The sequence below is a fragment of the Homo sapiens genome, chromosome 11, assembly GCF_000001405.40.
Source record: "Homo sapiens chromosome 11, GRCh38.p14 Primary Assembly".
Classification (NCBI taxonomy): Eukaryota; Metazoa; Chordata; class Mammalia; order Primates; family Hominidae; genus Homo; species Homo sapiens.
This window is the reverse complement of record NC_000011.10, coordinates 56,120,569-56,134,153: the sequence shown is the minus strand read 5'-3', so window position 1 is coordinate 56,134,153 and position 13,585 is coordinate 56,120,569. Positions and strand designations below refer to the sequence as shown.

At 33.1% G+C, this 13,585-nt stretch overlaps 1 protein-coding gene and 1 pseudogene across 1 annotated transcript; one reads left to right on the top strand and one right to left on the bottom strand.

The window, feature by feature from the left end:
- OR5BN1P (olfactory receptor family 5 subfamily BN member 1 pseudogene) lies at nt 661–1,489 on the top strand (annotated as a pseudogene).
- Nucleotides 10,843–11,781, bottom strand: OR8H3 (olfactory receptor family 8 subfamily H member 3). The gene has a single exon (NM_001005201.1). The coding sequence runs from the start codon at nt 11,779–11,781 to the stop codon at nt 10,843–10,845; it is 939 nt and encodes a 312-aa protein (NP_001005201.1).
- Between the last annotated feature and the right edge of the window lie 1,804 nt (nt 11,782–13,585).

Here is a 13,585-nt window from a genome sequence, read left to right as displayed (position 1 = left end):
TGGAAAACAGAGGTGGAGCAAATGAAGACACTTTGGTATGACGTGTCCTGTGCTGTACCTTCTATGCGTTCACTTCATAAATATCTATTAAGGACCATGTACAGTCTGAAAGACATAATGCAAGACTATCATATTACAGTGACAAGAACTTTGACAGGAGAAGATTGTGTAGAATTTCTGTATTGTGACTTGGGCCATAGAGATTAGGAAAGAATCAGAAACCAACATATCAAACTTAGAAAACTCCCTTACAGCCACTAGGATCATCTTCTGATGATTACTAGAGACTAGCACTGTTCTTTGTGATCTACTTGTAACTATAGAGAGCAACCACAAAGCTCTTAAACATACCAGAATAAAATTGGAAATAAACTTAACCAAAGAAGTAAAATATCTCTACAATGTAAACTATAAAACATTGATGAAAGAAATTGAAAAGGATACAAGAAAATCTAAAGATACACCATGTTCATGGATTGAAATAATCATTATTAAGATGTTCATACAATCCGACACAATCTACAGATTAAAGCAATTCCTATCAAAATACCCATGCCATTCTTCACAGAAAGAGAGCAAAAATCCAAAAGTTTATACACCAAAGTGCATATCTTGCTTTCCACCATTTTGCTTCATATCCTGCTTACCCCAAAGGATTTGGAAACATTTTTACATTTATCCACATAGGTGTCTTAATTTTCCTAAAGAAACATCCCCACTCTCCAGAGGTGCCAAATAAATATTTATTGAAATCCATGTCATGATGAATTTTCTGCCTGCCAAAAATAATCATTACTTTATTGCAGTAGGAGTGGGATGCTTTAAATTTAGAGACACGGGTTTTTCTGGAAGAGGACTTCCCATGTGGATTCAGCTTGTGGATTGTACGTCAATTGTCTTTTTTCTTGGAAATAAATTAATTTGCTCATTTAAAAAAATGATGCAGGAAGCATACGAGTACTTTTTCTCTGAGCAACTTGGCTTTTTAAGTTTCTGTTATGCTTCAGTCATTACATCCAAAATGTTTGGAAGTTTCTTGTACAAACAAAAAAAATTAACCTTCAATGCACATAGGCTGCTCTCTCACCTTCATGACCACCGAGTGCTTGCTCTAGCTTTCATGGCCTGTGATCAATACCTGGTCATTTGTAATCCTCCTTTGTATATGGTCACCATGTCCCCCCCGCAAGGAGTCTGCATTCAGCTTATGCCTGCCTCCTATAGCTATAGCTTCCTGATGACACTTTCACATTATCCTCAGCCTTTGTCTCCCTTATTGCCCCTCTGTATCATTGATGTTCAATGGAAGCCTGTTCCTTATGTACTTAATGCTCAGAAAATTCTCTTGACACAGACAGGATGGCCTCTGTCTTCTACACAGTAGTCATTCCCATGTTGAGCCCTTTGATCTGGAGCCTCAGGAACAAGGATGTGAAAGATGCCCTGAGGAAAGTCATTGTCAACAGAAACCAGGCATTATTTTGTTCATAAAATTAAGAAACAAACTTGAAAAAACAAAGGCATACATTCCTTCTGATCTGTTTTCTCCCTGTTAATAAAATTCATATTGATCTTTGTTGTCAACCAGTAAAGATCTGCTCACTATAAAGTGAAATAATTCTCTGTGTTCTTTGTAGGCAAATAATTACAATTACATGTAGAAGGTACCATAACAATTCACATCAAATTCTATTGTGCACATAAATATATGTATATTTTTAAAATTGATTATCTCATCTGATAGCTGCACAACTATGTACTTGTCAAGAATACACAGAAGTAAAGGCATCCAGAACAACAAGTTTAAAGATTATTGGAGTGCTTTAATAATATATTGATAGGGGTAGCTTAACAAAATACTTAAAATTAAATTCAAATAATATATTTCAAATTAAGTTGAATAATATTTTCCAATTAAATTACAATAAACTTAGACTAGTGGTTTTGACTAGAAGTGAGTTTCCCCACTAGAAAACATTTGGCAAGTTCTGTAAATATTGCTCATTTCATGGTGTTGAGGTGGTGTGAACAAACGTTATTGCTATCTAAAGGATAGATGTTACTTAAGCTGCAAAATAATCTAAAATTCACAAGATAGCCCCTCACACAAAAAACTTACTCAGTCCAGAATGTTAATAGTGCCAATTCTGAGAAAGCCTACTTGAAGAATTGTTGTTTAATATCATTTGATTAATCATTGTTTCATTGATTTTAGTCAGGAGGAGAGTGCTTTTCCAGTCTTTTATAATATTGCTCTTTTCTTCTTTATTTCCTCTCTCAATTATTAAGACTGATATTAAAATTGAAAGTTAAATTATGTTTTTTCCTTTCTTATCTATCAGTTTTGATGTCAAATATTCTGGGGCTTTTTGTCATTAGTACATAAATTTATTCTTTATTTTTATAGTTTTTAACTTTTATTTTAGATTCAGAGTCGTATGTGCAGGTTTGTTATACAGATCAATTTCAGGACACTGGGGTTTGGTGTACAGATTATTTTGTCACCCAGATAATAAGTATAGCGCTTGATTGATACCTTTCCCTCCTCACCCTTCTTCTACTCTCCACCCTCAAGTAAGACCCAGTGTCTGCTCTTCCCTTCTTTGTGTCCACCATGTACTCAGTGTTGAGCTCCACTTTTAAGTGATAACATGTGGTATTCGGTTTTCTGTTGCTGTGTTAGTTCACTTAGAATAATCCTCTCCAGCTCCATCCATGTTCCTGCAAAAGACATGATCTTGTTCTTTTTATGGCTGCATAGTATTCCATGGTGTATACACATCACATTTACTTTGTCAGTCTATCGTGAATGGGCAGTGAGGTTGATTTCATGCTTTTGTTATTGTGAATAGTGCTGCAATAAACATTCACAGGCATGTGTCTTTGTGATAGAATAATTTATATTCTTTGAGTAAATACCCAGTAATGGGATTGCTGGGTCAAACTGCAGTTCTATTTTTAGGTTTTTGAGGAATCACATTGCTTTCCACAATGGTTGAATAATATACACTCCTGCCAACAGTGTATAAGTATTCCCTTTTGTTCATAACCTCATCAGCACCTGTTATTGTTTTGATGTTTTAATAATAGCTATTCTCACTTATAAGTGAGAATATGTGATATTTGTTTTTCTGTTCCTAGATTAGTTTACTAAGGATAGGGAGCTAAATGAGAAGAACACATGGACACGTAGAGGGGAACAACACACACTGGACCCTGTCTGAGGGTGGAGAGTGGGAGGAGGGAGAGCATCAGGAAAAATAACTAATGGGTACTAGGCTTAATAACTGGGTGATAAAATAATCTGTATTACAAACCCCCATGACACAAGTTTACCTATGTTAAAAACCTGCACATATACCCCTGAACTTAAATGTTAAAAAATAATAATGGCCATTCTCACTGGGGTGAGATGGCAACTCATTGTCATTCTGATTTGCATACCTCCCATGATCAGTAATATTGAGGTTTTATTCATATGCTTATTGGTCACATGTATGTCTTCTTTTGAAAAATGTCTAAGTCCTTTGTCCACTTTTTAATGGAATTGTTTTTTTCTTGTAAATTTGTTTAAGCTCTTTATAGATGCTGGAGATTAGACCTTTGTCAGTGGCACTGAATGCAAAATTTTTCTCCCATGCTATAGGTTGTCTATTTACTCTGTTGAGAATTTCTTTTGCTGTGCAGAAGCTCTTTAGTTTAGTTAGATACCTTGTCAATTTTTGCTTTTGTTTGGGCTGCTTTTGGTGTCTTCATCATGAAATTTTTGCCCATTCCTATGTCCAGAATAATATTGCCTACGATGTCTTCTAGGGTTTTTATAGTTTTGTGTTTACAGTGAAGTCTTTAATCCATCTCAAGTTAAATTTTGTGTAGAGTACAAGAAAGGGGTCCAGTTTCAATCTTCTGCATATGGCTAGCCAGTTATCCCAGCACCATTTATTGAATACTGAGTTCTCTTCCTATCGCTTGTTTTTGTCAGCTTTGTCAAAGATCAGATAACTGTAAGTTTGTTGCCTTAGTTCAAGTTTCTCTATTCTGTTCCATTGGTCTATGTGCCTGTTTTTGTACCAGTACCATGCTGTTTTGGTTACTGTATCCCTGTAGTGTAGTGTGAAGTTGGGGAATGTGATGCCTCCAGCTTTGTTCTTTTTTACTTTTTTTAATTATTACCTTGGCTATTTGGGACCTTTTTTGGTTTCGTATAAATGTTATAATAGTTTTTTCCAGTCCTTTGAAGAAAGTCACTGGTAGTTTGCTACGAATAGCATTGATTTGGGCAGTATGGCCACATCAATGATATTGATTCTTTCTATCCATGAGCATGAAATGTTTTTCTATTTGTTTGTGTCATCTTTGATTTCTTTGAGCAGTGCTTTGTAATTCTCATTATAAAACTCTTTCATCTTCCTAGTCTATTGCTAGATATTTTACTATTTCTGTGGCGATTGTGAATGGGATTGTGTTCCTAATTTGACTCTCAGCTTGGCTGTTTGGTGGATAGGAATGCTAGTGATTTTTATACATTGGTTTTGTATCCTGAAACTTATGTAGTTTTATTTTAACAAACACGAAGAAACAATGCACACACACCTTAAATAATTTGCTCGATGCCACATGGTTCTTAAGAGTGATGTGAGATTCAAACCTAACTTAGCTAACTACAGAGTTCCTTTTGCTTGTTATATATGGATTGAAAGAATTGACTGATCTTTTTACCTTACCAACTTACTTTTTTTGCTTCTAACAATACTTTAGGAAACATTATCAGTTTTCCTATAGCCACTGACAGAAATAAGAGAAAAAGAATGCACTTAAAAATATTGGTGAAGTGGTTTCTACTAAACCTAATAAACTTGCTAATTTATTCCACTCATTGGGATATAAAGAGTTTACAGGTTTTGGCAGTCAGTGATCAAAAAGATAAAGACAAAAAAAAGAAAGAAAGAGAGGAGAAAAAAAGAGCAAAGAACTAAAGTATTAAGAGAAGAGTAGATGTGATGAGTTATATCTGGATGGATTATGAGATCCCATTCAAGATGCAGAATGAGATACTGCAGTGGTAAGTGTGGATTTACCCAGAAGAGCAATATTTGAAGTCATACCAATGGGTAGGATTCAAAGGGTATACAGAGCTTCTCTTTCCACATAGGGTGTAGAAAGCTACAAAGAACCTTGCTCCCAACCTATTTAAAACACTTCAGTTAACCTATGAAGTCATAATTGTTGTGAGTCTATCTTGGAACTAAGGCTGTGCTGCAAATGGGACACATGAACTGTTTCACTTTTGGCAAAGGGTGAGAGAAAGATGAGGCCACCATAAAGGTATGTAGGAATAAATTAGCTAAATTAAAAAAAAAAAGAAAACTTAAATCCAAGTGTGTACTATTGAGAAAATCAGAAAGTTCTAGATTGAAAGGATTTACATTCACTCTTAAAAGTTTTCTCTGCAGGCCCCTTCCAAATGCTTATGAGATTTACTAATAACATCAATTTTTCAAATACAGATGCTCCTGATGGTTGTTGACTAAAGAGCATTTACAACTACAAGAATAAACGTTATAGTGGAGAGAGTAAGGAACATGCATAAATATGACAGAAATTTCATCAGATAGTGACTACAGGAAGTGTCCAGTGAAGTACTGGGCCACCCACCCAACTCTCCAAACACACGCTCACAATATTGGAGACAAAGAATTCATTCAACCAGCTTATCAGTGGAGTCCATAAGGATGAGGAAACAATTTGTGAACCTGAAGATGAACCAATAGTAATTTATCAAAGAGAAAGAAAGTTAAAGAAAAAAAGTTGCAACAAAAGTATACAAGAACTCTATGGCAATGTCAAGTAGTCTAATAACAAACAGAAGAATAATGGAGAAGAACGGAAGCTTGAGAAACATTTGAAGATACAGTGGTGAATAATTTTGTAAAAGTAAGAAATCCATCAAACCATTGGTCCAAGAAGGTAAGAGGATACCAGGAAGAGGATCCCAGGAAGGAGACATACAAAAAGTGAAACTAAATGAAGCCTATTTTCAGGAAAATAAATACACATACATACACACCTACACACATGCTCAGTGCCTACTTATGCTGAAATAATTGATAATCAAGAGACTTGTGCTCCAACTATTTTTGAAGTAGAGGGTCTGTAATAACATAAGAAAACATGGCTTCACACAAATAAAGAAATAGCACTAAAAATGTATAACTGAAAATAAAAAATAACAAATATTGGACATTTTAATTGCTTTAAAAAATAAATATCTAGCAAAACTATGCTGGTGCATTCTGGGTTTAAACCATACATAACAGTAAAATTTACCACAAAAAATAGCAAAATGAATGGAAGAGAAGATCTGACTTGACATTACCCTAAGGGTCTTATGTGAAAAGATATGTTGTAGATTATTTTATTTAAACTATAATACATAAACTGTGCATTTCATAATGCAGGGTCACCACCAAGAAGAGAGAGGATAAATATTACCAATATCAGGAATGAAATAAGGCATTTTATTATGGTCCCCACAAGTATGGAAAGAAAAGAAGAATATTATAAACAATATTTTGCTAATAAACTTAAATGAAAAGTACTTAAGTGAAAACTATTAAATGAAAAGTACAATTCTCTAAAGAAGCTTACATCAGAAGAAATGGGTAACCAGGGTAGTCCTATGCCAACTTAATAAATTGAATACATTCATAAAAACCATCAATATGAACAGTGAGTTTGAAATTGCCTTCCCAGTGTCAAAAAATCTCACCTTTTCCTCTGACTGGAATGCGGACAACGTACTAGATTAACTCTCTTCAATAACACAGAAGAGGACAACATCAAGGAGAAAATAGAGCAATAACACAAAAGAACCTGTGTCCTAGGATTGCCCTGTGAAAAACAGCTCCCACAAGTCTAGTCAGATCAAGAGTAATTGGATAAAACAGAGAAAATTCTGCAGGTTATATTTAAGAATACTTCTGTTGTAGTTGGGTCTCTCTGTTTCTGAATCATTTTAATTTTTTTTTTTATTTTTTGGATCAGAAAATCCTTTATTCTGATAAATACAAATTTTCTCACCAGCATCATCCCATCAATATAATAATTAATATATTATTACTATTTTCATCTAGCCATAATTATTTGGAAGTAAAAATAGCTGTTCATATCTTGCTATGCTGAATTACAGGTTTTTTCATACTTATATGGCACTTTGGCAGGACACTAAGAACCAGAGGACTATGTCTTCAATTAGACAATATCTTACATAAACTGGTCTTTCTTTATTGAGTTATTTTTCTGTAAATCGGACTGTACATATATATTTGAGATTTAGCTAGTAATGCCAAAATCACACCATCCTCCATCAGCAGCCCTAGAGAATGTATATTAACAGCATATACCTTTTAATAACCTCTGTTTTTTTATGTCTTTAAAAATATACCAAATTCTATTTGTTTCAATGAGATTATAGTAGTAAACCATTGCATTTTTTAAAAAGTGGGAGAAGTTATTGAATCTCTCTGTGTTCCAGTTTCATGATCTATAAAATTCAGTCTTTAAATACATTTATTAAGGTACTGTTCTAGGTACTGGGGGAAAGTCCTATGCTCATAGAGCTTACATGATAATAGGGGAAAACTGACACAAAATAAAAGGCACAAGAAAAATATTTAGAACATCAGATGGGAATAAGTGCTATGAAAAAAGAAGAACGTTTGAAAGAGGATGTGAACAGGTACCAGTTTTAATAGGGTGGTGAGAGATTTTCTTGTCGAGAAAAGGATAAGAAAAAAATGATGCAGTTATCTTTGGGGAAAAAAAGTTTCAGGAAAAAGAAAATGGAAAATTTCAGGCCGTATTTCAGAAATATTATATAGGGTTTGTGAAGAAAAATTATGATCTAACCTACTGTTTCACAGTATAACTCTGGCTCCTACATTGAGATTAGACTCAAGAGGAATAAGAAAAAAAGTTAGGTGCATTCTACAATATTGAAGCAATAATTCTGAAGTGGAAAATATAGTTATCTTGGCCACGATGGCGGCAAAAACATGTTAAAACAGACACCAAATACAGTCTATATTTAGAATCACCTTAATATGCTGATGGAAAGGAAGTAAAGTGTGTTCAATAAGAAGAAAATTCCAAGAAAATTCTTAAGTCTGCTTGAACAAGTAAAGGGTGGTTTTCCATTAATGTGAGATTAAACTTTACATATTGCTAGTACTGACCTGACAGTTAAATTATAACAATAAATTATGTTAATTAGATATACATAAAGCCTTTGAATATTGCCTGACCATGGAAAGTGCTCAGAAAAATATATTATTACTGTTTTCCTCTAGCCATAATTATGTGGAAGTAAAAATAGCTGTTCATATCTTGCCATGCTCAATGACAGGGTTTGTTTCATATTTATATCATAGGGCATTTTGGCATGACACTATGAACCAGACAACTATGTCTTCAATTAGACAATATCTTACATAAAATATACTTTACACCAATATAATAAGGAAAGTATAGGCCAAATGTGAACAGTCTAAATCTTTCATGTTGTGCATAGATTATTGTATACTTTTTAATAACATTATGTGAATATGTTTTAGCCTATGTTATGAAGATGATAGGGTGGTCCTCATTAAATTAGAATGTAAACAATTTCCCACCATGTGTTGACCACAAAGTGATAGATTCTGTTGGCCATCTTTGCAACCCAAATTGACAGGATCCATTTTCTAAATCATAGAAGTAGACATAAATGAAAGCAAGATAAAACCATAGTTTATAGAAATAAATAGAAAAATGGAAAGAACCTGTAAATACATGAACTTATATTATGCATTTATTAGATAAGAATGAGCCAAAAACATATTATTAAATAATAAATGTCGATTAAATACTTATTTCTAATTGCAAATGAAAACAAATACAGGGACCTATAAATATATATTCCTGAAAAAATGGATATCAAAGCAAAAATTAAATTATAATAATTTTACATGGCATTAATACTTGATAAACAAAATTGTGAAATAAATTAAGAGGAAACAATATGTATTTAAAAGATTTGAATAAATTAGCTGACAGTTTGAATAAGTGAAATTTTATTAAAATGTTAACTCCTAAAATAGAGGATACAGTCTATTTTAAACATTCAAAATGCACTTAGAAAAAATCAAATATAATTGTACAAACAAAAATTTCAATATATAAACGAAAACAGTCTATCTAGTAACTGTTACAAAAGTTTAAACAAAAAAGACAAATACTTGGAAAATAAAAACTAGCTTCTAAAATATCCTTTAAATAGCAGATAAAAACAAAACTGTGTTTCCAGAATATGTAAGGAAAACATTTAAAAATAAAAGACATTTAAGCACACTACCTGACTAAAATTGATGGGATGTCACAACAACTGAATTCATTGTCAATTCTTTGCTTTACATCTTTTCTGTATTAAGAAATGTAAAATCAATGAATAAAGCATTTAATTCAAGGAGTTATTTTAAAACTGAAACAAACCTGTAGAAAACAGGAGAAAGGCAATGATTTTTAAAAACACACAGGATTTTAATAAAGAAGCAATTTGACACATTACGGAAATCCACTTTTCACCTGTTTAGCATGCAAAGGACATATCACTGCATGTAGATTTTTAACGTGATGAATTTATATTTCAAGTCCAAAACATTGTGAAATGAGACTTGATTGTGCCCATGTATCAAGAAAAACTTTATGTTAGATTTGTCGATGACAAAGAGATTATCTAATGTTAAACTTGTAAATGAATACAGAAAGCTGAAAATCAGTATGTAGAAAGTGATAGAAATTTTTGTTTATATGCGTTATATATGTGCACGTATTTGAAACTATTGATCTAGAAGAACATGCACAAAACTCAATATTTGTTTTTCTAAAACTGAAAACGAGTTTATTAGAGAAGTAAATAAACAAAAGAATGGCTACTCCACAGGAAGAGCAGCCAAAACTCAATATTTGTAGAGGATTTCTATTTTCTTCAATATTTTATAATATTTTCAAATTTTCTCTAACATTATATTAATATAGGCTATTTTTTCTATAACATAATTCTACTGAAATATTTTACTTCTGAAATCCAAAATTGTGAGCTGCTGATTTTTGTTCTTTTTAGTTCTGTCAATTAAATTAACCAAAAGTAATTTGTGAAACACGAGTTTACATTCTTGAAAAAACGCACTGTGCAGTAATGTAGGTCTTCTAATGATAATGGGAAGCATTAATTATTATCGCTTTAAATACTCTACAACTACCCTCTGATCAGATTTGGAGTTATTTATCTTGCGCACTTAGGGAAAGGAGGCTTAAGCTTTAGGTAACATATTAATGGCTACACAGCTAAAAGTGTAGCATATTTAGAATCTAACTCTTGGAAAATTTTATTCCAAAGTAAGTACTCCTACCCACTCTGCTATGATTCTTCCCCACATAATAAATGGAATAACATCTAAAACTATTATCACCGTGTCTCAAATATTCTTTCCATAATAAATTTATCTACAGTTGAAGCATACATAAGAATTTGAATAATATAATTAAAAATGACAACCTTATTTTCTTATTTTCCACATCAGTTGCTTCAAAACATGACACACATATTATGATTCTAATTACCATTTGGATTTCTAAAAACATATGCCTTGAAATGTTTTAAATCATGTTTAGTCAAGCAAAGAGTAGCACAACAGAAATGCAAATAAATTAAAGGATTCAATTGTTTTTATAGAGAGACTAAGAAAATACCCAATAGGAATGAAAGAAAAGATGAGATTAAATGTTCCATTTCTGCTATTTTAACTACCTGGAGTCCTGTCTTCTCTGCATGACTCTAATGAGAGCATTTTTCACTTCTCTGTTTCTAAGACTATAAATGAGTGGATTCAGCATGGGAATCACAATAGTATAAAACACAGGAGCCACTTGATCTCTTCCCAAGGAATAAGACTTTCTTGGCTTTAAGTAAGTAAAAATCATAGTTCCATAGAAGATGGTGACTCCCAAGAGATGAGAGACGCAAGTAGAGAAAGCTTTCTGCTTTCCTGAAGTGGAATTAATTTTCAGGATGGTAGAGAGAATGGACACATAGGATGCAGATATTGTGATAAGGGACACCATCAGGGTGGAACCAGCGATAATGAATATCAGCATTTCAGTGTTGTCTGTGTCAGTGCAGGACAGAGCTAAAATTGGGGAAGTGTCACAGAAAAAGTGATGAATTATGTTTGAGTCACAGAAATGCAATCTGCTCATGGAAACCACATTGACAAAGGAGTCCATAAAGCCAATCACATAAGGCCCAGTGATGAGAGCGAGGCAGAGCCTTTTGGGCATAATAACTGTGTAGTGTAGAGGACTGCAGATCGCTGCATAGCGATCATAGGCCATTGAGGAGAGAAGATAACATTCAGCAGTACCCAAGAAGACAAAACAGAACATCTGGGCAAAGCAGCCCGTGAAGGAAATATAGTTGGAAGTCAGTAAGTTCGCTAAGGTTTTAGGTGTGACGACAGTTGAGTAACTGAGGTCAATAAATGACAGGTGAGTAAGGAAAAAATACATGGGAGTGTGAAGCTGGAGGTCCAGGCGGATTATCAATAGCATCCCCACATTCCCCAGCATAGTAATTAGGTATATGAGGAGAAATAGCATAAACAGAGCCATCTGGACCTCTTCAGAGTCTGACAGTCCCGTAAGGATGAAGTCAGCCACATTTGTGTCATTCCTTCTACCCATCATGTTCACCTGCTCTAAACTGCTGAGAAATCAAAGTTGATACGTAGCAGGGGCGCCTGTACTCCCAGCTACTGGAGAAGCTGAGGCAGGAGAATCGCTTGAACATGGGAGCCGGAGGTTGCAGTGAGCCAGAGGTTGCAGTGAGCTGGGATCACACTATTGCATTGCAGCCCCAGCAACTGTGCCAGACTCCGACTCAAAAAAAATAAACAAAACAATCAAAAAAAATTTCTGTTTATATGAATGACCTAGCATTTAATAATTAGTTTAACATTCTACAAATTGCTAATAAATTTATAGAATATGACTAAAGAGACTAATTTTATTGCCAATATAGATATAAGTTCAAATTAACATTTGCATATGTTATAATAAAATGTAGCATATTGCATAATTAGAATGAACCTGACATTGTTCTGAATGGCTTCCTTTATTAATATATTTAATCCACCTGAAAATATTATACCATAGATACTACTATTATCCACATAGTTTAGGTGAGGGAAAAAAAGAGTATGGAAGGTTGGAGTAACTTATCCAAAGTCAGATCAATTCAATGTTGACACTGATTCTACAAAGATATATTCCTTCAGAGAGAAGGCTTATAATACTACAATCTTGTTTATAAATAATTTCAGAAAACTTGAGAAAAGAGGTGGACATGTAATAAAAAATGAGAGGAAACAGTTTTATTATATAATTTACTGCCCTTTTGTTTCCAATATTATTTAATAATAATTTTCAATAAATTTCACCCTTGGGGTTTTTAGTCAGGTACATTAAAATTATAGACAATATATAAGTATTAATTTATAAAAGATGTGATGTTTTCCTGACATAACTAATCAAAATCTAATTTCTTCCAAAAAATTATATTTTCAAAATGTATACTTTGCTTGTAGACTCTGATTCTGGCAACTCTACATTTGTCTCACAAACCCTGACATTACTTAGGGTAGAGAGTAAATGATATGTGTATATATTAATATATACATTAATATATATTAATATATTATTCTGCGAAAGTCCCCATTTTATTTCATCTGAAGTAAAATGTGAAACAAAATCTTCCAATTTTGAGAATAATACTTACTGTGTGTAAGTCAACATTCATGAAAAAACTTTCTTCTTATATTATCTGTATGGAAATTTGTCAACTTCAAATTTTTGTTATAAATAAAATAAGAAAACTATTTAAGGAGATGAAAATTTTTATAATATTTGTTTTCCTTGAGATAAGTTGTTTTTACATTTTGGTGCATTCATTATGTTTTATTCTGAGTTATGATAAACCAATCTAGAAATTTTGTTTAGGTTCTGGTCTAATGGAAAGATTACCAAGAAGTTATGTGTCAAAGAAGACCGGCAGCCACTGTGACCATAAGGAGATTATTCTTTCCCTCTCACTCGGATAATTCCAGAGGATCTCATATACCAGAGGCTGATGACAATGCACCTTTTGGTAGGCCCTGGGGGCCATTTGCCAAGGCAGATTGTTTGGCATGTTTCCAAGCACAAAAGTTCAAGGACTAAATGTAGCCATGTTAGGCTTTGTGCAAAGATTTTCCTTTTTACCTTAGAAGCCACACAAATGAAGGAAATTATGAATTGGTCTTTTCTTGTGATGTTCTCAATATTTTACAGGCGTGGTGGAGAAGGCATTTCCAGAAAAAATAGTTACTCTGTGACTGACATCATCAAAGATGGAATAATACATTTTTCACAATTAAATTTCTTAATATTTAAAAGTGCGATACTATCGTATATGTAAACCATGTTAATTGGAAAAGAATCAGAAGATAACAAA

Excerpts from the sequence above, each read along its gene's own strand:
- OR8H3 (NM_001005201.1), bottom strand. The coding sequence starts at position 11,781 with ATGATGGGTAGAAGGAATGACACAAATGTGGCTGACTTCATCCTTACG.